Source organism: Homo sapiens, chromosome 14 (genome assembly GCF_000001405.40).
Source record: "Homo sapiens chromosome 14, GRCh38.p14 Primary Assembly".
Taxonomy (NCBI): domain Eukaryota; kingdom Metazoa; phylum Chordata; class Mammalia; order Primates; family Hominidae; genus Homo; species Homo sapiens.
Genome location: NC_000014.9, coordinates 29,210,047 through 29,237,597, shown reverse-complemented (window position 1 = coordinate 29,237,597; position 27,551 = coordinate 29,210,047). Strand labels below are relative to the sequence as shown.

Genomic DNA, 27,551 nt, shown 5'->3' with positions numbered 1-27,551 from the left:
TCTACCTACCTATGTATCTAACTATATCTATCTATAACATTTTCTACTTCATGATACTGACTGAGGTTTGTAGTTTCTAATTTGAATTAAAATAAATCTATGAGGTCTATATGACACTCAGTGTTTATATTGCTTATTTGGACAGGTATAGCTTTTTATAAATACTAACACATTGTGATTTCTATATTTTTTTGGTTTTTGTTATATCATAGCATTATTTACTCAGATCCCAAGAATTAGCTAACTGTGCTTGTAAGAAAATTTTCAAAAATTTTGGAAATCCACATAATTGAAGAAAATACTTTCTCTCACCAAATTGGAATGGAAAACAAGCTTAGAAATTGTACACATCTTTGAATTCCAGTGACATCAACAGTTACAAATCAGGTTTCTTCCCTGCCTTGTTTGGGATGTATGCAAACTGAGTTAATATAGTTCATCATTTTTCACTCAGAGAAATTTTATGACTTCATTTTTAGAAATGAACTCAAATGCAATTCTCCCTTGATTGAGTGACTAAGGCAGTGACTTTACCATGGTATATTGTGGAGGAGAAAAAATATCGATGAGTCACAGAAGGTTTTGATGAAAGCACAGATTTTATTCCACTTAGTGACTCATTTGTGACTTTTCTTTCTCTTTGCTTACTTTAAGTGTTTCAATCCCCCTCACTCAAAGCAAGGAGAGCAGGGGCTGAAAGACTATAAATTTCTTCTTTCTCTATTGTAAAAACGGCAAGGGGTTAAGGACCCCATGAGGGAAGTTGTTCTTAAGTGAAGGTTAGAGGTTGTTCTAGTTCTCCCTTCCTTAACTAATGAAGCTAAGGTAATTATTAAGTTTCAACTCTGACTTGTTTCCTAAGATGTATGATTGTGGTAAAATCAGAGCACTAATTTTCTGCTTCTACTAATATTCTTGAGGTAGTGACTGAGCTTGTTTCTGTGTACAGACCAACCTTCCTTTTCTTCTTCAAGGAATTCTGATAGTCTCTCTATCTCATTGGCAACTCAGGCTGACTGGCTGGTGTTTAGCTTAAGCACTAGTCTGGGTAACAGCATGGTAATGGTGGAGAACAATTTATAATAATCTTATTCAGATCAATTTATAATAATCTTATTCAGATCAATGAACAGTGTTCTGCTATTTGACACTCTTGCCATATTTTGAAAAATGTATTGTCTCTCCCAAAGTAAATGGTCTACTTTTTTTTTCCAGTAAAATCTCACCTATTAACAAATGATACATAAAATGCAGTTTTTCTATTCTGAGAAATAAGAGCTTAAACAACTAGGGTAGGCTTTTTTTTTTTTGGTTTTATGTCACATGGCATAATATAAAATGAAAATACTGCATTTAAGAATGTCAGGGGGGAAATGTACTTGGCAAACACTAAGATTCTTCTGAGGATTGTGAAGCTGTCTTTTGCATTACAGATAATATAAACAGGAAGAAGATAAAATTGCTCCTGCTTAGTTGTCAGATCATGCTAACAATTACAAAACATTCTAACCTGGCAAAGTCAAATATGTGCATTTAATACTAATAATTTCTTCATACAATCGTGTAACAAATATACTGAATACCTTCTCTGTTTTATATGAATCAAATATTATTTGGGAATATATATATTTAAAAGCAGATAGGCAAAGTTAATGATATTCTTTGAGGTCAGATATGCTTTTAAGAAACAAATAAGCAAAAATGTAATTTTAAAAAGTTTTATTTATATTTGCTACATAATGGCATTTCTTAGTTATAATCACTGCTTATAGCTTATAAAATCTCACCAAATTACAAAGTTTTGAGTGGCATAGAAAGTAGCTTCTAGTAATAGACACAGAAATATGCAAATTGACTAAGCCCAACTGTATGCTAATTGGCCAACACACCTCTCATTTAACCAACAGTGAGCTATTCCACAAGTATCTAGAAATCAAATGGGTGACTGTGTAGGTGTAAATGCGTCTCTAAATTAATTTTCCAATAATAGACAATCTCTAACAAACAGAAACTTGGAAAAATAAACAAGCATAAGGGCAGAAGGATATTTTGTGTGTGATTTTAATAAGTACGATGTTTTTTGTGTTTAGATGCTGTGGAATTTCATCAACCACACAAAACATAATAAAAGTAAACTTTGACTAAGGTTTTCTATACACAACGAGCATTTGGTGTCACTACAAATAATTCATTCTCTTCTTAACAATTCACCACACTGTTAAATAAGGCCAAAACATCTACTGTATGTTCTATTAAAAAGCAATTCTATTTTTTCCCAGAATCACTTTCAATTACAAGAGTATATCATATATTTATTCACATATGTTTACTAGATTTGTGCCTACACACACAAATAAATTTTTCTAAATTTTTATTAGAATAACACACAATCTCCATCAATAGAGTATAAAGGAATTATTGGAACACATTAAAATAAACAACAAGCAGTGATTCTTGTTTATTTGCCCATACTAATATCTGTATCATATTCATAGAATCAGAGAGCTTGAAAGGGTTCTTAAAGGTGTTTTAATAAAATCTTTCCATATTATAGACAAGAAAATTGCACTTAAGCAACTTATCTACTGTTACATAATTAGATATATGCAGATTTTTTAAAAATTTGGTGGTTTTTGAAATCTTTCTGTGGCATACAAAACATTCAAATGTCATTAGAATCAAATTTCTGATGCTAAAATCTGATGATGTTTCCAATATTAGATATTACTAAAACACTAGATACCATTGACAAAGCCATAGACTTATCTCAGTTTTCTTCCAAATTTGTCCATCTTTAAGTTTCATCCTCAGAGTAGCATAGATTTATAAGAATTCATAACTACATAAATCATATGTTCTCATGGTTTATTTGTTTTATGAAATAATAAAATTTTACTTCAAAATACATACTGTTTTAATATATAAAGAAAACAGCAATCACAAATTATAGATATGAAAACGTAAATTTTCTCTTTGTATTGAACTCCATGTAAAGCTCTTACACTTTCATGTTTTAATCCACAGAGCAGAATCCAAAGAGAGTATCAAAATAGCACTGTAAATGTAAATTGTTGAAACTGAGTTAGTAGCAAAAAAAAAATCCATTTTACTGGAGTTAACATTGTTTAAGAATTTCATCTCTCTTTATTTATAATTTTGACCACATCTTCTATAAGTTTTTGTGCTGATTAATTTAGCAAATCAAACTTCTTACACAGACTGCTTTAGAAATTACAACTACGCTGTTGCCGACTTAAAGTTACTGATACTCATTTCATTAATATATATTCAGTCACATATAAGCTCATGGAGATACCAATATTAAGAATAAGCACGGTAAGAAATGTGGGCCTTTGTTAAATATCATGGTAAAATTCTCTTCCTTTAGGTCCATTACAGACATATACCTGGTACATCAAAAATGCTTGTAACAATAATTAACACCTATTGGTGCCTATATCATAGAACAACTTGAAAGCATCAAGTGATTTTTAAATGACACTTGCATTGTGACAAGTGGACTGAAGAACGTATTTACTGAAATTGCTTAAATATCAAGGGCAAACTGGTTGGCAGATGACACAACAGATGTTAATTCCAGTCCTCTCTTCTCCTTTCCAACCCAGAATTTTCACAGCAATTGGAGGTCTGAGGGTGCTGTAGTTCAATCAGTAGTTATACCCTGTCTCTAGCAGTTAAGCATGAATTATTTCTTATAATAGAAGTAGCTCTTTTAGTCAGAATTTTAAGAGAATGAACATTTATTCAAATATATATTGGAAATAATTTTTCTTTGGGGGGTTTGTGAGGATCCCATGAATTTTGGTACTGCTCAATATATTGGCTTAAGTATAAAATATTGGCACTTTAAATGGCATTCTCAGGTTAAGTCTAAAAACACAGTCTCTTTGCTTATACAAACATCTTTAAAAGAGGGTAATTAGTGACCAGTGGCTAAGAAGACCTCTGTCTTGAGAGGTTATGCTTAAGCCTCTTGAAGATTCTCCATGTAAACAAGTCGGATGGCATCACTCATTATCCCTTCTTTGTTTACTTGGAAAAAGGTTCAAACTATTTAATGAGAAGATTACACCTACTTCGACTCTATTGAAAAAGATTAATTGATATTTTCCTGTTGGAGGTTTCACCACTTGCATTTGGCTTCCACTCGCCTATTGTTATTGACGCTGTGATCAACAGAGCAAAGTTCTTAAAGGTTATCCAAATTTCACAGCTCAGCATTATTCAAACTAATTATGGTTCTTCCTTGACTCATAGATGTTGACTTCCAAGGACTGTTAACTTGTTGTTCAAAGAGACTATGTTTTAAACTTTACTTGTCTGAATAGAAAATTTTGTGACTAGAATCTGGATATTTTGGAAAATTTTGCTAGCTATATTATAGATAAAGTAGAGCACCTACTCAAAATGGAATGTTAAAACATAGAGCCAAATTCCCGTGAAAACCTAAAAATAATGTCTTTTTCCATCCTAATATATTTAAAAGATTTTGAAACATAATTTCATATCTTACCATCTTCATGGGAACACAATATAAAAAACAAGACCCCCACCATTTTGAGATACAATTCTGTGATAGAAATCTTTACAAATTTTTCCCCAAAAAATGTGTGTATTATGGACATATGGCTGCATATTTGGATAACACCATTTGCATTTTTCAAACTTGCATTTTTTTAAGCACTAGCTTGGCTTTTGCTGTCAGAATGGCAAACTGCTAGTGTATTCATCTAAAATTCCTAGTTTAACTCTTTGTCACTTTAACATTTTATGTAATGCTAATATGTTCACCTTTTCTTAAAAAAGTAACCTAATATGTTGGAGGCAGTAAAATAAGAAAGACTTTTCAAACCATAAAGTTTAATAATAGGAGGAGTCACATCATAGTGTGAAAAAAAAAGGATAGTGTCAAAATCTGATCTTAGAAAAAAATGCTTTTGAAAATTACTGGGAGAAAAAATAGTGTGTTAAAATGATTTTACTTCAGATTAATTCCCTGGAAGGATTTGTGATTTTTATAGTTTTCTAGGGTTATTTTGTAAAAGCAGTTTTAGTTCCTGAACATTTAAACATAACAAACTGGAATATAGAACACTGAAAAAAATGATGATGTGAAAATAAAGATAACAACAACCCTGACATTAGTAACTTATGGAGATTCTACTTTCAAGGGAAACGAAACTTCATTTGCTGCATGCTTTCTAACACACATCCTTACATTGCTTTATGATACATTTTCTCTGTTCAAAATGAGGCATATGAACACATGGCCTTGCCACAGCATTTTAAGACACGCTTATTCCAATACCCTTCACTCCCCAAACAAGCAATCTTATTTAAGGGAATCAAGTACCCGCTTATGGTTGAATAATTTTCCCGTCTTACATAATTTATATATATCAAAATATATGTTATGTAAATAACGTATTTTGACTTATAAATTAAATTTCATGTAAATTATACCTTTGAATTGACATTAGGAATAATTTTTTTTTATTTTTCAGATAACCACCCTGAAGGTCCATGCTCCTTTTTCTATATATGTTAAAATATGCACTATTTTAAATTTTGCAATATTGTGCATATATTTGGACATATTGCAGACATATTTGGACATACTGTGGACATATTTGGAATATTTCAGCTTTTCTCTTAATTGACATACTATATGGCTACTTATATTTCCAAGCCACTTCAATCTGCTCCTTTCAAATTATGTTTTTGCAATGTGTTTATCTAATTATTACTTATTTATTAGTTTCTGCAGAAGTATTGAATTAATTAGCATCTCATGCAAAGTCAAAAGTAAATATGAACACATAAATTATGCTATTGAATAGATACAAATTTTATTGGTCCTAATGCTGGCAAATGCAGTTAACCTTATTGATTTAGTTGAGTACCTTAAAATAACATAATAAAAAATATTTTACCACAAGGCTATATAATATGATCACTGTGTCAGCTATTTTAGCCTTCAAAATTTAAATGCATAGTTTAACTTCGAATATATTGATCCTTAAATAGTCACCCTATAATAAATATGACATTATCACTTCAAGTCTGGGCAGTTGTGTTAGGTGATTAGAGAGTAGGGATGTAATCAGAGGAAGTACTTTGAAAGATAATCTTTCTTTATTCCTTTCCTTTGAAACACACAGAGGGAGGAACTATGGAATAGCAATAATTGCTGAACTGGCTGTTACATAATCTGTGCTAAATGAAGTAATGATACTTAACAAGTGATCATCTATCCCTTTAAATATTGAGGATGTCGTATACATTCTATTGCCATGGCTGAGATAGTTCTTAGAGTTAATTTAAGATTTTTTTAAAGTATCTAAGAAAATATTTTTAAGAATTCTTTAGGAAATCATTTGACATACATTTTTATTATTCAATATATGGCACACAAAATACTAGGCACAAGTTAAAGAAAGCTGAGTTAGAGAAGATTCTAGCTCGCAGTCTAAAACTAAAGTACTTATTTTAAGATCATTAACACAAATTGTTATCTATTCATATTTAATTTGAAAAAATATATTAAGGTCAAAACATGATTGTATAATTTATATAAGTTTCTAGTAATTTAACCACTCATGAGGTTTTCACCCCAGTTTTAACACTGTTGTACAGGAATATAAAACCATAAGCCACTATTGGAAGATGATAAAATATGATCATATTTTAATAATTGATTTTAAAACCAAACATACTTAATTCAGTTATTAAAAGGCATAACTTAAACACAAGGAACACAAGACTTAAACAAAGCAGAAGACAGCTGTCCAGAAATTATCAATTACTAAAGCACACAGATTGTGATTAAATTTTAATGCGGCTTTTAAGCAATGATTTTGCTTATCAGAGAGAAAGAATCACAGAGAAAATATTGTTATTGATTTCATCATTTTAGATGTAACTGATCCTTTAAGTAATTTTTCTTGCTTTCAGTACTACTTTTTAAAGTGACCACTTATATTGGGCAAATCATTAGAGTGTATATTCATTTAAAATTCTAAGCCAAATGCATAAATTGCTCTCCAGTGCACTGAAAGTCACATCTGTTGAAAATAAAACACAACATTCAATCCATTGAGTAAAAACAAAACACAACTGTAGAATAGCTGGACAGTCAAATCTCATAAATTAAATGGCATTGAAAATGATATTTTTAATTAATTTTTTTCCAGGGAGCCCAGTCTTTGAAATTAAAGTACGTTGATTACCTTTTATGTAACCAAAGTAACAGTAAGACAAATTGATCCACTGGAGCATTATGCTAGTTTTAGGTTAAGGACTAGGAGTAGGAATAGGTTACAACTTTTTTCTTTCTTTCTTTCTTTCTTTCTTTTTTTTTTTTTCAAATAGAATGCTACCTATGTTGGCTCTCTGGATAAAGTATCATTTTGTCAATCAAATTAATTATTTAAAACGAGAAATAATTATGCTTATTCTTTATTTTCCAGCAGACCATAATTATTTAACAATGTATGAGATTGTTAATGTCAAAAACTTTAGTTTGGCTCCCTGGATATGTGCCCATGATGAGTATCTAAACATTAATTATAAATTTAAGAAATGTGTGTACATGCAGTTACATAATTACATGTATTTATTTATTTATTAATTCAGCATGAGTCTCAGCTAAATGACAGACTTTAAGCCAGGTACCAGTGTACGCATACATATTGGTAAGTTCTCATAATATGGACTTGTGTGGAAGATATAATATTGACTTAACTTTTTCTTTAAAGTATATTGACAATATGTTTATTAATTTGTCAGTGTGAAGTTAACTAAAAGCCTTATATAATGCGGTATCTCCTTTAAAGATTGTAAGTTTTCCTATTTTTAGAAATATAGGACATACCTATGAAACCAAATGAGTTTTAGTATGGCAAAAATATGTGGTCTAAATTTCCATGACTACCCAGCTCCTGTATTTTAAAAAAATATTCACAATTTATTACTCTATTTACACCTGTAGCTTTGCAAAATATTCTGAATTGATTAAATTAGTGTTGCTCTAATAGGTAACTGGCTACACAGAAGAACAAAGTAGCTAAAATTGTTTATTTGTGTCCCAAATATCTGGTTTAGAGAGATGTAGATACAGAGATAGAGATGAGATAATTGTTTGAATTTTTCACTTTTCAACCAACTTTTCAACAGCTAGGCCAACTATTAGTAAATGCAAGAGCACCTTTTGCATATTCTTATTTGTGTACTCAATTAATAGAGGTTTAAGAAATCATACAATCCTGATGGGCACACACAGAGTTAAAAGAATTAATCTCCTAAGAAGCAGTATATGTATCAATTTATTACTGTATTTAGCATTTTCTTAATATTTTGCAATCATTAAGTTTAAAAAGTTACTGACAATTAAGTGAATTCTTAATTCCAAACAAATCATTTTAGTTACTGATAACTTATACAGATCAAGTCACAGAAAACATTGGGCTAGTCCAACACAGATCATGATCCAAGTGTGATTTCTTGGTTATATTGTTTGTTATTTTTTTGGTTAAGAAGGGGAGGGAAATTGAAGTGAAAAATCATTTTAATAATATCTTCAATTTTGTAAAAAAGGCAATCTGGTATAAATTTTATCAAAACAAAATTCTTGGTTAATAGTCTGTCACTGACAGAAATAATTGCTCTCAGGAATATTAGGTAATTTGAATTTTTGGTACATGTAGTGACGTAGCATGTGCCTTCATTTGGTCTTGTACAGAAAAAAATGGTTCTTGTTTGAACTTTGTAAATTCTAATCTTAAATTTTTTATGCCACAAATGTTTAATTTGTTCAGTTAGGGATAACATTTATCCCTTAGACTAAGATTCTTCTAAACATTTGAAACTTCAAAAATATCATTACACACATTTTGAAAATCTAAATTCAATTTGCTAAAATCCTGGTATTAGTTAAATCAATCTTTAAAAATACCTGTGTATTGAAATTATAGAAAACTCTTAATCACATACAGGACCAATTATGTTTTTGTTACTGAGAAAAGTCTGCAATGACCTCAGGTATGACAGTGTCTTCCTTCAGTGAATCACTATACTCTGTGATCACTGAATACACAACCTGTAATTCCTAGGGGGTGGCACTCATGAACCAATTCATTCTTTACAGCCTGGAAATACTCTACTACTACAATTAATTTTTCATAACTGCTTATCTAATCAACTTTTGAAATAACAACAAATTTTCCATTTCTACAACTTTTCTATCATTCATCTCATCTCCTTACCTTACCAAATCACTATAGTACATGATTTATAATAAAAGTTTATGTTTCTGTATCACCTGTTAAACTCAGGACCCAAATTTCCCTTTTACCAAAATGTAGAAATATCTCATTCTCTTCTGCTTTACCCATGTTAGGCAGTCACTTCTACCATTATTTTAATAAAATGTTAGTCATTTTACCATAGATGTAATTTTTTTAAAAAAATCACATACACACATTCTTTGTAGTAGTGATGAGACACACACACAGGGAAATAGAATTAGATAATTTTTGATGGTTAATTTACATAAGCACAAACACTGAGACCAACTATTTTCTGTTAAAGAAAATCTTAGTGGATTATAAGTCCTTGTCCTTGAATTTAATGTTTCATTTAAAAGATGACGCTTCAAATTCCATCTCTTTGAGTGTGCTATTGGTAGAAGCAAAAAGGGAGTGTTGCTTTCTGTTTTCCTAACTACACAATCAGTTCAACCAGGATGAATCACATCACATGGTCCTCTTGAGCTCAAAGATGAAACTGTGGAAGTCAAAATGAAAGGAACTGTTTGGGGTAACATCATTGAACTTTTTTTTCCCTCTCCTGGACACTGTATGTTTCCCTTGAGCTGATTTCAATATATGTACTATAAAATTGAAACCCATGTCATTTTGTGAGGCTTTGTTACTAATAATAATAATTATAATCATATGCAACACATTTGAACCTCTTCTATATGTTACATATGTTACATATGAACACTAGTTCATTTTATCTTCAAAACTTAAAAGTTGTCCTATTGTGACTTCATTCCCATTGCTGGGAAGTAAATCATGTGCCTGCATCATCATGTGGCATTTCCAATGTCAACACTAAATGGTTAATTTCTAAGGGCTGAAATTTAGAGAAGGAACAGAGTAGAGTTCTGAGTATGAACCTGGGATTTAGGCATATTTATGCAGGAATCTCTAAGCCACTACTTGACCTATAGCAACTCCCTTAGCCTTCCTATGCCTCAACTACCTCATTTGAGAAACAGACAGAAAAATATCTTGCAGGGGCTGGGCGCGGTGGCACAGGCCTGTAATCCCAGCACTTTGGGAGGCGGGTGGATCACGAGGTCAAGAGATCGAGACAATCCTGGCCAACGTGGTGAAACCCTGTGTCTACTAAAAATATAAAAATTAGCTGGGTATGGTGGCGCAAGCCTGTAGTCTCAGCTACTCAGGAGGCTGAGGCAGGAGAATCACTTGAACCTGGGAGGAGGAGGTTGCAGTGAGCCAAGATCGTGCCACTACACTCCAGCTTGGTGACAAAGTGAGACTCCATCTAAAAAGCAAACAAACAAACTATATATGTACTTGCAGGGTTTCTGAGAGAATATAATGAGATAATGTCCTAAAAGCACTTAGCATTGTGTCTGTCATGGGTTAAGTATTGAATATACAAAATCTATTGTTAACATTAACAAAATATAATGGCACAAAATGGCAGAATTCCATGAAATTCTATTATGTTTTATCCTAATCCTTTTTATACTTATTAATCTTTTTGTTCATGGGGATTACCTGCCAGGAGGAATGAAACTGATAGCTTGAAAGGAAGTCAGACCCTTCAGGGTGGCCAAGATCAAAACTGGAATACAATCAGATGTTAGGAAATTAGCATATAGATATGTCGGAGTTTCCAAGCTGCCACTTCAGAGTGTAACACTTCCCCAATGAGAGTAGTGTAATTGATCAGACAAGAGTTTTATTATATTTTCTTTTGTTTTCTTCTGTTATTTTCTGTTTTTTTCTTATTTGTACGTGGCAATATCCTCACTCTCAATGTGAAGACCTCCATTTGGAAAGTGGCTGGAGTTCCTTTCTACAGATCCTATCATGCATTTTAGATTTACAGAAGTTTTCTTCTTTCTCTCTCCCAAGATCTATATTTGCAGATTATCTACAAACTATTTTAAGAGTTATTAATATCATTTTGCATGTCTTTCAGGAAGGATTTGAGTAGGCATAAGGGTATTTTTTTGTTACTAGGACTTTAATCTTTTTCTCTTTTCCTTATTATAAAGATTATTGAAAAACAGCAGAGCTAAGCTTTAAATAGGATTTGAATACATCTTTGAAAGCTAATACTTTATATTGTGCTAAATGATAGTGCTCTTTAAAATTGACTGTGTTGTGTTGTAAATAAGGTTAAAATGACAAAGAATCAAGTGTCTTAGGAATTGCAGAGTCTTGTTACATTAATCTCAGGTCAGATACGATTTTATGAGAGAGCATAATAGTTTAATGGGCATTTGTCAATTTAAATTAAATTATAACTTTCGAGACAGTAACTTGCAAACTTAAAACAGTCATATGATATTATGAATTACATCTTATGCACATTAAGAGATCTTAAAGCAAGGAAACCAAAGATAGAAAATATTGGTTCACATTTCAAACCACAATAAGTGTGAATATAGCCTCAATTTAATAAAAATGTATAATGCAACTTTCCTTGGGTTAAATGTCTTACAATTGCTCTTGGAATGGGCACTTGTTTTCCCATTATTGGCCATTTTAATTGACTTACACACTAGTTTTCTCATTTAAGATCACTTTATAGTATTGGTTACTCTTCATCTGAGGGATATGTTCTACTCCTGCCTGGTCCAACAACACAACAATTTACATATTTCTGAACTTGATCTGAAAACTGATTTAAAAATCTATATGGAAAATCCAATTTTCCTGAAAATATATACACACAAGTATGCTCAGAGGTGGCTAAAATAAAATAAATTTCATTTTAGGAGCCAGGAAGGAAGCCGAGACAAGAAAGTGAGGATTCTGAAATAAATGGGTACTTGCCCTGACCAGGATTGAAACCCACCTCTCCCAAGAGAATATTAGAAGAGGGCATGGAAGACAAGCATTGGAAAAGTAGAATGTTTGTGCTTTTCTTTCTAGTGGACTGCATTAAATATTCAGCAATAGAGGGGATCAGTTTACATTACTCTTCTTGTTTCTCATGTATCAACTGACAGGTGCTGTAAACATACATAGACAAACATGGTCCTGTGCTTGCAATGCTCCCCTGACCAAGGGAAGACAGGCTTTAATCTCCTAAACTGATCATACTGAGGCCTCAGCAGACACACTATGCTCAGATTGGAGAGAAAGCTTGCCTTTCAAATTTGATTCTCAAGAAAATCCATTCAAAGACATGGTTTCATTCCAGCAACATGTTACTAAGGTAGAACAATCTTGTTTTGATTCTGGAGACTCGACTGAATGCCTCACTCGTGCTTTTGAAATAATAGTAGCAGAACAAACCTCGTTTTCTGAGCACCTCACTTTACTCGTGGCAAACCACCAATCCGCATCTCTTATTTCGCTGAGGGTAGATTCACAGCAATCAGGGAGAAAGAACTGGCCTTGGCATTGAGATCAGAACCAGTATTTAAAACATTTATTCATTCGTGTTTTAGAGATGTCATGGTAAATAAATTATGACTGTTTACACTGAAGACTAAGAGTCTCCTTTTTCTACACTATAGGCAGCGATTTGGCTGAGATTGTATCATTCTGTGATACTATCACACACTACCTTTTTTCTCACTTGAATTGTACTTTTGGCTGTCATTTGCGCTTTTGAATAAAGGTTTACATTAGTGGAAGATATCATAATAGCATATCTCCTTTTCCTGAGTTGATATACAAATCAAAAAGAAAGGATAAGGCCAAGACTCCCTTTGTCCTTGGAAAAGTATGCCATCTGCATTGAGCTTATCATATTCAGCTGAGAACAAAATTCTAGCATAAGGATGTCGTTAATACAACCCTGAAGTTAAACTGTAAATTCAAAGTACTTTAAATGCCTTATAATAGTCAAAGCCAGTAAAATCGACCCTGTATATTTTTATTTCATCTCTGTTGGATCATATGATATTTAATAATTGGTTCTGGCACCTCGTTGCAAATTATTATAACTTTGAGATTCAACAGTCCTATTGAACATATGGGCAGCACAGGCTTAGAACATATATATGATACAGCCTCTCGAGAGGACCTTCTGTCTTGTTTTCCTTAGCTTGGAAGGGTCAGGTAAATTTTGTTGTGTCGTCATGTGCTAAGATTCCTCAATATCTGTTTTGCGGGGTAAATGCTTAATGGAACTGATTTATCCCCCCTAACTGTGAACAGTTCCTCTGCAAAGCCAAAAGAGAAATTCATGCATCTGGGATGCAGTTTTACTGGGCTCTTACTAAAGCAGTTATAAAGCTATTCCAGCATCAGTGCACAAGCATTCATCAACCCAGAATAGGTTCTATTACTTAGTGCCATATTGTATCCTGGTTTAGCTGCAAACTACAAGAGTTTCTGGAGTCAGGAGACCTTCCCATGCTATTGAAAGTGTATGATTATTCTTCACTAATCCTGGAGAAGATGGAAAGTTGGAGATAAAATACAGTTGACCCCAAGAAACCTTTTATATAGTTAGACAGTTTCCCATCAACATTTTTTTCAGTTCTATTCACAATAACACCCCGAGACAATATTAGGAAAAGCATTTCCACACCACAGCCCATTAAGCTTTTATTTTCAATGTCCCTGCTGCTTTTCCTCAATATCTAGACTGTGTGCCTTGATTTGCTCTTGTATTATTTCACATTAATTGCTATATTGTTTATTGCCACATTCAAACATACCATAATATAGTCACAGTGGCCATAATTACATAGTAAGCTGTCCTTAAAAAGAGATGTCAAGATGGATAGTGGTGGGTGGGGTAGGCAGAAGGTTATGATTTATACATTATGTTGACATTGTGGAATAGAGCTGGTTCAATTTCTTTTGATTTCACTATAATGCCTAATACTAATCTCTCTTTGTCTGTCATATAATTAGTCATTACTAAGACTACTACGCTAAAAAGTTCACAGGGTAGGAAGCAATGGTCAAAGACATTTTTCAAGCACATATTTTTCTGTTGCTCCTGCAATATTACAGTTTTTAAAATGGCATATTGGTGGATGAGAAATAACCATATGCAACGTCTATAATTCTAACTCATTATAAAAATAAATATCCTATTTTATTTAAGAACTCTTTTGGACAAAAGTACTTTTTATACTTATGCTTGTACTGATATTTATTTGTTCTAAATATGCATGAAAGGTATTTTGATGCTCTGGAATGTGATTTTCCCCCTTCTTTGTTGTGGTTGCAAAAATCCACCTCTCAGTGAACCATCCTACCCTCTTAGGACAAACTGATGTTGGAAATCTTCTTCACGATTAGGTTGTCACTTAGCCAAGACAAATACCAGGAATCATCCTAATCTTGGTGAACAGCAATTCAGTCACACTTGACCCTGGCTGATGATCATAAAGCTGAGGTCCCGTTCATATCGCAGACTTGGAAATATCTTTTACTACTGCCGATTTGCTTCGTATCACGGACTGCTTGCTTGGCATCACGTAAGCCAGTAGGTGGAGTGCTTGTTAACAGTAATTGAATATACAGAACTTGAACTTAAAATAAGTGAAAGCCACTTTTCTTGTTATAAACTGCTAAAACCATATTTACACAAAACTCTTTCTATGGATGTAATTAGTTGAAAAAAAATGTTACAAGGGCAGGGTTGAGATGAATGCAGGCCTATAGTTACATGGGAGAACACAGAGGCAAATTGTGCTCCAGAAGATCAACACATCATATGGAATAAACCTTATGTAAAAGGACACTTTCTCAAACATTCAACTGAATTTGATTTGGTAAATAGACCTTAGTCCCTCTTTTTTAAAATTTAGGATTTAAGCTGTTCAAAGGATAAACTAGCTTTGATGAGCTGCACATGAAAAAGTTTGTGAGATGGAAGATTAATTACATACATGTTGATAGCAATAGTAAATTCAGCACCTTTGGAATGAAAAGTTGCAAGAGGTACCTCCAAAATAAAGTGTAACTTTCCCATAAGAGTGCCTTGTTTTCCTCCAAAAGAAGATTTTCAAATGTATTTAAAAGCTGCAGCTTGAGGCTTGCTAACTACATCACTCTAAATCTATCTATATCACACCTAAAGATGTTAAAGCAACATTTAGAACTCCAAGGAGAAAACAAGCAACAGAATTTAGAAAGCAGGAACCACATGGAAATAAGAAAATCTTCAGTCGTTTTTTAAGAATGTGAGTTATATGATGTGAAGTAGATGAAAATGCAAGAGTTTAAAAAAGAATCTCTTGTTCCATATCAGGATACTTACAGATCTGAATCCATGGCATGCAAGTACTGAAGATATGTGTGGTTTAGAAATACCACTGCATCTATAAGGGCTTCAGAGCAAATAATTGCACAGTATACAATGACAAACACTACTAAAATAGTGACAATTTCCCCTTTAACTTTTTAATTACAAAAAATGGTGAACTCTTTTAAAAATATTTTTTGCCAAGACAGTGTTGATATTTTTTTCTAATTGTGCCATCATGTTCTCAGCTCTTTCTAAATTTTGGGTAGATTTGTGTTTCAAATATGCGACTTTTTTCACTTTGGGTTAGAAGTATAGGAACAGAGAAGAAGAGTGGGCACTGTTAAACTGAATTAATCAGCCACATCTTTATATGATAAATAACTCCTTGAAGCACTCGATAGCTTTACTCAAACCATCTCTGCCTTTTCAAGCAACATCAATAACAAATCTGATCCTCCCTCAGGCCACAAAAAGGATGAAAGAATAGTTATTGCTAATTTAAAATAATAAAATGTTATATTTTCTATTTCTTACCTGAAGAAAAAAGTATGTTCATTTCCATGAAGGACCTTAAAACAAATCAAGGAATTTGACCAGTAGATAAAAGTGGTAAACTATGCCCAGAACAGAATTTAGCTTCTTTAGCCAAGAAAGAGCACTTTGGGAAATGTATTTATTGTTAACATTTTGAATTGGAGAAATAGTATAAATATTGGCATATTCTCATTCACAGGGCTAGCCTATGAAAGAATTGCAAATGAGTTCTATTAAGGAATGTTTGCCTTCATTCATATATTTCTATGTGCTCATGTATTTCTTTAGGTTCTGCAGGTATCGTTATTTATGTGCACACTTAGTATAATTCTGTTCGTCTCATTTGAAAAAAAAGTTCACTTTTTTTGCTAGTAGTCGTTCATTTTACTTTGTCGTGCTTGCTACAGTATGTTACTTTCCCATAGATATTGAACCATGTCATTCTCAGCCAATGTTCACCCCTTGATAGTGCGTAGGCAATAGACTTTACTGAGAAATAGAAAAGTGTTAGCCACCGATCCCACCAAGGTTATATTCTGTCTTAATAGAAGCTGTTGATAGATCCTGAGCAGCTCTACACTTACCGTGTTGACTTATAGAATGAAATTCTCTGCACACAAGCACAGCAAAATATTTTGGTGAAAAGTAATTATCAGAAACAGTGACACCAGTAAATTAGTTAAGTACATTTCAGCGTGAAGCTTGAGTTACCCCTGCCCATTCTTGTTCCAGACTCATCTGAAATCAGCAGTTCAGCTTAATGATGTCACAACATTTGCCAGGCTATGGGCACTGAAGGGAAGACACGGGACTGCTCCCATTGCATGAGATTCCCCTCCTCTCTATGCACAGACAGCCCATCTGTCTCACTCATACACGGAAACTGTTATCTTTGCAACATCATTCTATTATTATCATGGCTATTCTTTTAAATTGGTCCTTAACTTGAGATGGTGTTTTGGAAATCAGGTTTTCAAATTCCCCCAGATCTTGTTGGCCAATTTAAAATGTTGATAGTAAGATGCCCTGGAAGCAGCTTATCTCACTAAAGAGCTCAAATGCTATACATTTCCATTCACTCACTGGAGGGTAACCTTTTGTGAAATACAGATAGCCTACTTTTCTAAAAAATCCCCACAAAGAATTCAACCCCTCCCAACCTCTAATATTTTTCAAAGTGTGAATTGAAGAGGACTTAGAGACAGATGGGTCTGGATGATCAGGTTACCTGTTATAGCAGCACATCTGCCGGGGCAGTCAATCACTGTGATGGCTCTGACAGGTCGATGGAGCCTGAGCAAGAACAGCTAATGCAAACAGAAGAACGGCTGGGGAAGGGCAGACCTCCTGCCTGTCTCCTGGGTTTGACTGGTCTGAAAGCTGTACTTGAATTTGCTCTGGTTAAAAATCTGTCTGTCTATTGAGCAATGATCTTCGATGAAAGATTTGGGCTCCCAATTTTTTTAAAGCCAACATATTGAATACATACAATTGGGAATGATTCGATTAGCACTTTCAAGCTGTCAGTCAATATTTGGTCGTATTTGGGGGACGTGGTATAGAGTGTGGGGTGAATAAGATTAGAAAAAGAAGAGGTGAGAAATAGGTTCAAAACCACATTTTTCCCAAAAGTGTCAAAATGGAGAAATGCATAAAGCACTGGTTCTGAGATACTTAATATCTGGGAGCTCAGTACAATAAAAATTAGCATTTACTAGGACAAAGGCAATATAAGAATGTCAGGAAGCAAAACTAATTAAGTTTATGGACACATGATACTTTGTTTTCTCTATAGGTTTAATTCTTTTATTCTACCTTCAATCACAAAGTTAATCATATTTAGCAATACTAATAGATTCAAATATTTGTCAATAGTATGCACTAGAAAAAATGGAATATGTGATTTCAAGATTTCACAAACAAAAAGATGTTTCAATTAAGTGCAGCATTAATTGTGCCACTTATATATCACATTTGTAAAAATGCAGATGTTAGAGGAAAATAAAACCAAAAAATGTCTGGCTGTAAAGCAGTATTTAAAAAAATCTAAATCTCAAAGAAATATCTAAATGGTAGGTAATGGCAAGAACTGTTAGCAAGTTAAATTTATGGTTAGTTAAATTTATGTATTTATGTATGTAAGTATCTATATTTATTTTTGTATATATGGTATATATTTTGTATTTATTATTAGAATATGTGTTTATGTATTTATCTTTAGAATACATATATTTTTTTGAAAAGTAAAAGAAAAATATTCCATAAGATAAGCATTATTATTACCCTACTGTAAAACAACAGTGAGCAAACATTGCTGAAAAGAGGGCAAAATGTTAATACATGCAGAACTGCTGTTAGTAGCGATTTTCTCCACAATGCCAAACTGATGGGGATTCGTGAAAGAGCCATTAAACAGATGCGTTGCTTTTCAATACATTCTTCAAGTATTTTTGCTCCCTCATCCACATTTTTAGTAAATGATGCTAAATGTTTTCAAAATATTACTATATTGGCTTTTTTTTACTTGAATTTTTTAAGTGGACTCATATTTAGCAGCAGATGGTTTGAGATACCAGAACTGCAATGGAGTCAGTTATTTAGGTTTAGACTACAAACTCTTATACCTCAGTTTATGGGATGGTAGAGATAAGAGCGGAAATCATCATTTTCTTAAAAAAAAATCAGAACAAACTCAGAAACAGGACTTTTCCTAAATAAGAATTCTATCTCATTACAGAAATAAGTTCATATCAATTCTTGCTAATGAAATGTTGAGTCTAAATCTTTTAAAGCTTTTAAAATGGATGGTATTTTCAGTTATAGTTTTAAAGAAAAAAAAATCACTGGAAAACTGTTCTCTGATAATAGTTTTGATACTAATTTAGCTTAAATATATTCTTAAGATAAGTGCATCCTATTAAAGAACCTCTGGATAACATGCAAACTTCTTGCAGTAGCTAACGTGGACATCATCTCACATAGATTGACTGACAATGTCAGTACATTTTTTTCTAGGAAGTGGGAAAAATAAAAGGTTTTTGATAATTTGCTGGTGGTAATCAGGAAATTGTGAATTAATTAGGGGACTTTGCCAAGCTAACCCCATTTAAATATGATTTAATAAAATTTTCTTGAGATTTTGCCAAAAATTTATGCATTATAATCTATCTATTCATCAACTCTACTAATACAGCACGAAGAAAACAAAATGAGTTTGGGAATGACTTCAGATTTTAGTGTAGGTCAGAACATTCTGGCAACTGGGACTCATGTTGCTCAGAATCACCCTGCTCTTCGGGGAAATAAACATAAGTGTCTTACAGGAATAGAATTCTCTGACTAAAGCTGATGGGGTTGGGGAGGGAGGAGGAACAAGCTACAAGAATAAAAACAAATTTCTTTAAAGCCTTAAATTAAAACTTCAACTATTAAAATAATCTGTAAAATGACAGCAATGATGTTGGAGATGTGCCCATACGAAAACAAACAAACAGAATTAGGGGTTTCCAGGGTGAAGTCTAATCCTTTCAGGGTCACAGTCCTGTGTACAAGGCAAAGACGTTCTTTTTAAAATGAGCTAATGCTCAATAAGGTCAAGGTTAGAGTAGAAAATGTGGAAATCTGCAGCTCTCCAGTCTCTAACAGGCATGAGCCTATTACTGTTCTACTTTCTTTGACCCATAGAATGACACCAGTTAATTCCATACTGACATAGTGATACAAAAAAGGTCACTGAAAATACGACTTCTGATTTTTATGCTAAGAGCAAGCTTGTTTTCAAGAGTCAAAACTCCATGAAACCTCAGATCTTAAATATATAAAAGGGAGAAGTCAAACAAGACAGAACTCTATTAGAATTCTATTAGAAATGGAGTATATCTTGTCTAATTTGTATGGCATATTTATGAATTTTGATCAGAGTCAACAGGAAATAACTCATCTTAAGAATGGCAAAGAAAATACTTTGAAGAAAGCAGGAACGCTGTATAACTATTTATGACTACCTTTACTAAGTTTTGCTACCATGTTTTTGCCATGTTTTCCCGGCTATATGTTGATCATTTCCATATTAAAAATTAATATACAACATGCCTAAGTAGATATGGGCTTGATCCTTTCCTAGGTTCATAATAATTCAATAACAGGAAGGCAAAGATAAATTAACCTCCACAAACTGTATTTATTTATTTTCTTGGAAGATGCTTAAATATTACCATTTGCTTGATTAACTGTCTACCTTAAATTTAGAGATTTGTGTTATTAAAAACAGTGTATTGTTTCAAAGCCAATACAAATCACATTGCTTTCTATCTAATCACTGCCTTTACTGCCATTAGCACAATGGCTAAATGGGAAGAGCTGCTCAAGTTCTCCGTGATGCTCAATGTAGACAGAAAAAAGCCCCAACTTGATACTGTGCTGGTATGCTGTAACCGAGCTATTTTTAATATTTCCTTGTAACTGATTTGTAAGTGGATTGTGCTTAGGCAGTGTCAGAACTTTCCTGTCAGCTACTTTAACAGCAAAGAGATAGCTTGATGAATAATTCATTGAAGGCAATTTTCTCCTAGTCACTGAGTCATCAATCATAGTTGCCTAAAGAGCCTTGAATTGGCCAGCGGAGCTCTATTCACAGGTAGTGTGATTTAGGGAATAGGAGCCACATTCATACTGACAAGTCAGGTAGCAGTAAGTAACGGAAGATGCCTCCTTTACAGACTGCTAATGAGTCACCAAAACCGCATACTATTTCCAATTCCCTTTTTTGTTTTTTTCCCCCTTTTTCAAAATATCACTCAGAATTGTAGCCATAGGGTGGTTTTGCCAAACAAAGGTGCAGTTGGATGAAAAACCAGTGTAAATATTTGCACATTTTTTCTGGCAGAAATCCTACTCTGAAAAGAACCTCTTCAAAAGGGAAAAGTGATTTGATACATGATTGCATGCATTTACCCATGTAATTGAAATAATGAGAGATGATTGCTTTGAGCTAATAGTCATAAGTTACTGGTCTTTTTGTTTAATCCAACCATCAGCTGTCAAGAGCCTCGCAGGAGCATGGGGAAGATGCACCAAGGATATCATTTGCATCACCTCAGACTGTAATTTTGTTGTTTTTTTCAGAGCTGATACAAGCGTCAGATTCTATACAAATCTCCCTGGAGCATAAGCGCTCTAGTGTTGTTTTGATAGGAGCAGAGAGAACAGGAGCACGTATATCCCTGCTCCTAGTAGCTTAAATGCTCTCAGGATCACAAATAAAATAAAAGCAGATTTTTTTTGGCAGACTTCTTACAATTGTTAAAAACTAATTTTGCAGCACAGTCAAGGTATGTCTTTATGCTGGAAAACTCACATTTGAGCAAATTTTCAAATACATACATCTTATATCATTGCGCCTATTGTTCCGCATGACAGATACCTTTGTGGTGTATTACACATCACCCATTAATTCCCTAAGCACTACCTATTGTATTAATACCAGCTGCCTATGACTGTTCAACCAGCACGAGAAAACAGGCAAAAACAATGGTGCAGTGATGAGTCATAATTTTCATAGTCTTGCTTAATAAGGAGGTGTGAAAAATGTTTTCTAAATATTGTAGCTCTGCTGTTGTCTATATGTGATTATAATGTTTATGCAAGCAACACAAAACAATGTGTACACAATCAACATCTGGCTACAGAGATTTCACTATAGAAAGACTTGGAGAAGATTTATTGAACACTGCTCACAAACTAATTAAGTTTAAATTAAGTTTTAATACATTGGATGTGGATTCCTATTGGATAAATGCTTGAAGCAGACAAGTTAATTTCTGACATATGGGAATAAGACTTTAACTTAGCAGATTGTTCACAGTGGATTGTGTACTGTTGTTTCTCTTTTCCTCTGAATTACCTACTGTCTGTGTGTGCAGATGAAATGTTACGTTACCCCACAGGATTGCACTGATCATCAGTAAGAGAGAAGACACTCTCCTCTGTAGATTATCTCTTGGCTTGGTGCGTGTCTCTTCAACTGTACCAGGCAAAGCCTTCGGTTAGTACACTAAACCCAGGGAAGCTCTCAGCTATTTTGAAGTATTTGAGTTGGGAGCTGCAGGATTTATCTCTGATCTTACCAACTTTTCACGCAAGAAGAAGCTGTTTTTTTGATTTGCCCAAAGACTTGAAGAAATGATTGAGAAAGGAAGGATCCAGCTAGTAGGAGCAGCAAAGTCTCTAAGCTTTTTAAAGAGAGACTGAGCTAAGAGACCTGTGGGATCTGTTTCAATTACAAGATATGGTACTAGGATAACATAGGTTGTGGTGGATACAGCTGCTTCAGATATGCAGCAGGTGACAATTCAAGCTGTACACATCAGTCCAGGCCTGTGAGGCTCTTTCAAGAATGGGACCTGGGAATTGCCTCAAGAACAAAACTAAAAACAAGGGCCCTAGACAGCACTCTCAACAATGGTCATTATCTTGAATTAAGACATATTTGGAATATTAAGGTTTCATTTTTGGTGGGATAGACAGGAGGATATCAATTAAGGATAACAACTCTTCACTGATAAAGATACATTAGTGATGGAAACACTATCTCTAAAATAAAAATGTTTCATGGTTCTCTAGTCCAGAGGTTCTTGGACTTTATTCCAAAAACTTATGAATAAAGAGTTTTCAATAAAAAACATACTCCTGTGGATGAACCTGGGTTTGGATAACTTCTAGCTTTTTGGTGTAAATTCACTTCTTAACCCTCTGTTTCAGGTAAGCATGGTTATATGCAAGTGAAAATGTTCTTTTTATAGAACTGACTTGAAATCATGTCTATATTTAAGTTAAATGACTCACAACTTAGTAAAGTTTGAGCCCTGAACTCCTGGCTCCTCCACTTACTAGCTGTGATGACTTTGAGCAAGGAATTTAACTCACCTGTGCCTCGATTTCTCCATCTTTGAAAATGGGATAAGGAGAGTTACTACCACTTAATGCTGTTTTGAGGATAAATGAATTAGCTCATGTAAAGTGCCTGGCATACAACAGCTCAAAAATATTTGCTATTGGCTTTACTAGTAAGAACCATATTAGTAATCTCCTCACATTTGTTTGAGATTTCAATATGTTGAGAAAGACACTGAGTTTGAGAAGCACTGATCTAGAGCCCTGAATTTTCACAATGTTTGACATAGTGCCTAATTCACAAAATTATGGGAATTATGTAAGACAAATGGAAAAGTCATCTAACAATATACTTGGCTCTGCTGGAGTAAAGATCTTTTGTTAAATACAATTTCAAGAACCTCTTCCAGACTTTCTTTCATCATTCCAACTGTCAAGGCTTTACTTACATCCCATGAGCCAGTCTAGATAAGAGGACCATTTGCATCAGTGTAAGGCTGTGTCTCTGAATGCATTAGACTAGCATGACAATCCACACTGGCATTTGACATAATCATTATTGATACTGCAGCTGAGTTGATCGGTCAGTAATCCACGATCTTTAAAATGAAGCAAAGCAAATCAGCATTAATTTAATAAGTATTTATTTGTTATAACCCAAATGAGCCAGCCTCCTTCCTTCCTTCCTTCCTTCCTTCCTTTCTCTCTCTCTCTCTTTCTCTCTTGCTCGTGTTCTCGCTCTGTCTCTCTCTCCTTTCTTCTTTCTTTTTCCTCCTTCCTTTCTTTGTATTTCTGGGCATTCCTTTAACTCTCAAACTAACTTCCTTTCACTCTTGGATTTACACAATCAAGTGTTTGAAGTTTGTTGGTTTATTTAGTCTGTGTTTTCACTTAACCAGATCAGCATCTTTACTTCCTTGTCTTGATCCAACCACTCTTGTCCCTTAATACTTGGTGCAATGATGGTAATTCTCTCTACATATTTGTCTTCTAATTAATTTCTTGTTTTGAGAACTTAACCGTCCACAAATAAGAAAAATATTTTTATTAAAATATTCCCAATTCCCAGCCCCCTTGTTGGAAAGACAACAACTTCTTCTCAGTTCTACATCAGCGTGCCTCTCTGTATGCAGTTCAAAATAGCTTTGACCTTTACGGCTGTGCTATCACACTGTAAACTCATGTAATAATATTGAACTTGTATGTAGTCCTCCATGTTTTCAAAGCATTTTACGATTATTGATTAGTTATTTCACACAATCTCCAAGCAAAGCAGTCTGGATAGGTCTGGAAAATACTAATTTTATCGATGAGGAAACTGACAGAGGCACTACCACTTAGTCCAGCCATCAGCAACTTAGTGGCAGACAGTACGGTAAGAGGCAAGTGGTGCTGCATTTCACTGACTGAGTTGTTTACAAGGAAACTGTCAATGACCATGCAGACCTTTTGCATTTGAGAAAGGCAGACCAGATAAAGAGTGTATCATGGAGCCAGATAACCTAAATTCAAACCCTGGCTTCACTGCTTCCTAACTGAGTCATCTTGGACAGTGTCCTAAGTGTGTGTCACTTTGCCAATCAGTAAGTAATACGAAGGTAGCCTCCTCATACGTGGTTGTGAGAACTGGTGATGTCCTCAAGTTAACACCTGGCAAAGAAGAACATGAAAAGTGTTGGTTGTTTTTCTATGTTGTCTTTATGTAAGTTACTTTTTTCCTTATAGTTTCCTCTATGGGCTGATAATAATGTTTGATGTCTTTTTGGAGCTATGTTCATGTGCATTTTCTAAAACTAAAACTCAATACTATGTTTTTTCCTAACTGCTCCCCACCCTTTTAAAAGAATTTAGCCAATACATCTCTGGTTTTGCCGGCACTTACAGCCAGCTTCTGCAGTCTTGTGATTGTGTGTGTATGGCTGGGGGTTCTGCCCTCATACTGCCCACTTCTCAACAGCTGCTCCCTCTTCACAGGCTGCAGTGAGCGTACAGACTCGTTCATCCATTAAAAACTTATGTAATGAGATCCTCATATGTGCTAGGAATTGTTCGAAGTACAAGGGATAGTGTATTGTACAGGTCAGACAAAAATGCCTATTTCCTGGAGGTCATTATCCACCAGGATTATGTCGTTTGTTTATAATGCCAAAGAGCACATGATGGAACTGTAGCTACCTCCAAAATTTCTTCTTTTGGGTACTTTAAACACCTGGATGAAAATAAATGCTTTGTGTTCAAGTTCTGCCTGGAAATGCTAGGGAGTGTTTTAGCCCTAGGACATGATAGATCTAGGTAGTAGAAAAAAAATACATTTTTTTCACAGTCATATTTTACAGATTGGTTAAGACTAATCAATAAGAGTTTTTATTGTATCATAAAAGTGATATGGGTGTCACAAAAAGAATTAGATAACAGATACAGATCTGATTATAGATAATTCCTAAGATTTTTAAAGACTATTATCAATACTGATCTCTCATAAACACAATTGTACATTTTTCCTCAACATATATCTCTTGAAATATTTTGGCATAAATTCTACCTTGACATAAGTTCTCTCTCTGTCTCACATATATACCACTTTTTCAGCAGTTTCTACAAAATATGCTAATTTTTCTACTACTCCTCAATCCTTACCATTAAAAAAATATGCATTTCGGCCGGGCGCGGTGGCTCACGCCTATAATCCCAGCACTTTGGGAGGCCGAGGGGGGCGGATCACGAGGTCAGGAGATCCAGACCATCCTGGCTAACATGCTGAAACCCCGTCTCTACTAAAAATACAAAAAATTAGCCAGGCATGGTGGCGGGCACCTGTAGTCCCAGCTACTCAGGAGGCTGAGGCAGGAGAATGGTGTGAACCCAGGAGGCGAAGCTTGCAGTGAGCCAAGATCACACCACTGCACTCCAGCCTGGGCGACAGAGCGAGACTCCGTCTCAAAAAAAAAAAAAAAAAAAAAAAAAGCATTTCTTTAGTTCAAGATCAAAAGATTTTTTATAAAGTTCATCTTAAATTCTTAGAAAATTGTATCTTCTTTCTCTTTTTGGTTTGAAAATGAGTGACTAAAAGTATGAATAATAAGCCATATATTTTCATTGAGACAGTGAGTATTTTAGATGATTCATTCTATGCTAGAATGTCTATAGTACTTTATTATTGTAGTTAGTAAATTATACTATTATTTATTTGAGTTCCTCTTATGTGTCAGCTATTATCAACATTTTAAATGAATGATCTCCTTTTCTTTTCACAGTAACACTGAGGTAAGCACTCTTTTCAACCCTGTTTTAGGAAGGAGGAAGCTGAAGCCATGCACTTGGAAGTGGTGGGATGATTACTTGAGTCTGGAGCTGTTTGACATTACAGTCTCTACTTTTAACTACAATACCAGATGGCCTCTCAATTGATACCCATTTTTTAAAAATCTGAGTTATTGCCTGTAGCAATACATAACAACAATAGCTGCAAGATTTCTGAGTTATTCAGAAAGATTTTTCATTCTGTTTATATCAGAGATGAGACTAGAGTTTATCATTTTTGGTCTTCTAATTTGTGAACAGCTCTACAGGTATTAGGTGGACAACACCTAAATAAATTGAATTGCAACTCATAACTGACATACTCTGATTGAAATATATGTTCAGTAAAAACGAACATGATTAAAACTTACATGAAAATATTACTTTTGTGGCTACTTCCTTTAGTTATTTGATTTGAATAATGGTTAAAATAAAAATAAACTTATTTATTGAATTGTATGGCTTTTGGCTAATCTTTAGTTAAATGGAGATACAATAAAAGATATCACTTCTACCAGTTGGTTACTAATTTAAAGATCTTGCAATAAGTTATCTTCACCATCACCAGGTTAGAACTTAACTGTGGATATAATTAATACTGGTAATGCTCTGCAGAAGTGGCAGAAAAGACCTGATACATGATATTCTATACTTGCTCTAGTCTAACATATTAAATAAAGGCAAAAGCTGAATATTTTAGCTTTCATAAACTTAAAAACAATTATGTGTATTTATAATCTAAGAGTTACTATTCATAGGTACCTTAGGGAACAGTGGCGTAACCAAAGCTGTTGCTTAGTTTTGACCTCCTATCCTACCTCTTCTGTGACAAGGTCTATGCCCTCAGGGGTAAAATCTCTCATTTCTCACCCTAAAACTATGTTGTACTCATCCTAACTTACTTCCCTCCAGTCTCCGTGGATAAAATATCCTTTGCTCTGCACAAAGGATTTTTCTGTCTCCATATTTGATCCTGTCCCTCCTATCCCCTCTGAAACTCCCCTCAATGACACTTCTGTATCATAAATTTCTCCTCACCACTGCCTTCTATCTTGTAACACACAAACAAGGGTAAACATCTTGTTCTCTCCTTTCCTTTACTATCTAGGTGTTCAAACCATTTACTCTTTCTTTCTTTAACGTCTAAATTAGATTTGCTCCACAACTCTTTCAATTGATTTTCTTTCTTCACTACCCAAGAGTTTGTAATCTTTGTAAATAGATTCATCAGATTGAGATTGCTAAATTCAATGGATAATTTTTAGTCCTCATCTGTCTTACTCCTCTAAGGCTTTCAGCACTGGCGATCACTGTCTTCTTCT

General features: G+C 34.0%; 1 long non-coding RNA gene across 2 annotated transcripts in view, besides 1 other annotated feature; it reads left to right on the top strand.

The window, feature by feature from the left end:
- LOC102724934 (uncharacterized) overlaps positions 1-26,612 on the top strand; it is a 181,069-nt gene extending 154,457 nt beyond the window's left edge. The window contains exon 4 of one of the 2 annotated variants that reach the window (XR_007064104.1): positions 26,184-26,612. This is a non-coding gene — a long non-coding RNA (uncharacterized LOC102724934). The remainder of the gene's footprint in view (positions 1-26,183) is intronic. The other variant, XR_001750707.2, reaches the window with a different exon arrangement.
- Positions 20,060-21,908: an enhancer, noted in NCBI's record as "VISTA enhancer hs566". NCBI's record gives its function as "enhancer in: forebrain[5/5]" and the evidence as "EXISTENCE:transgenic organism evidence [ECO:0001131][PMID:17130149]".
- Positions 26,613-27,551: the final 939 nt, after the last annotated feature.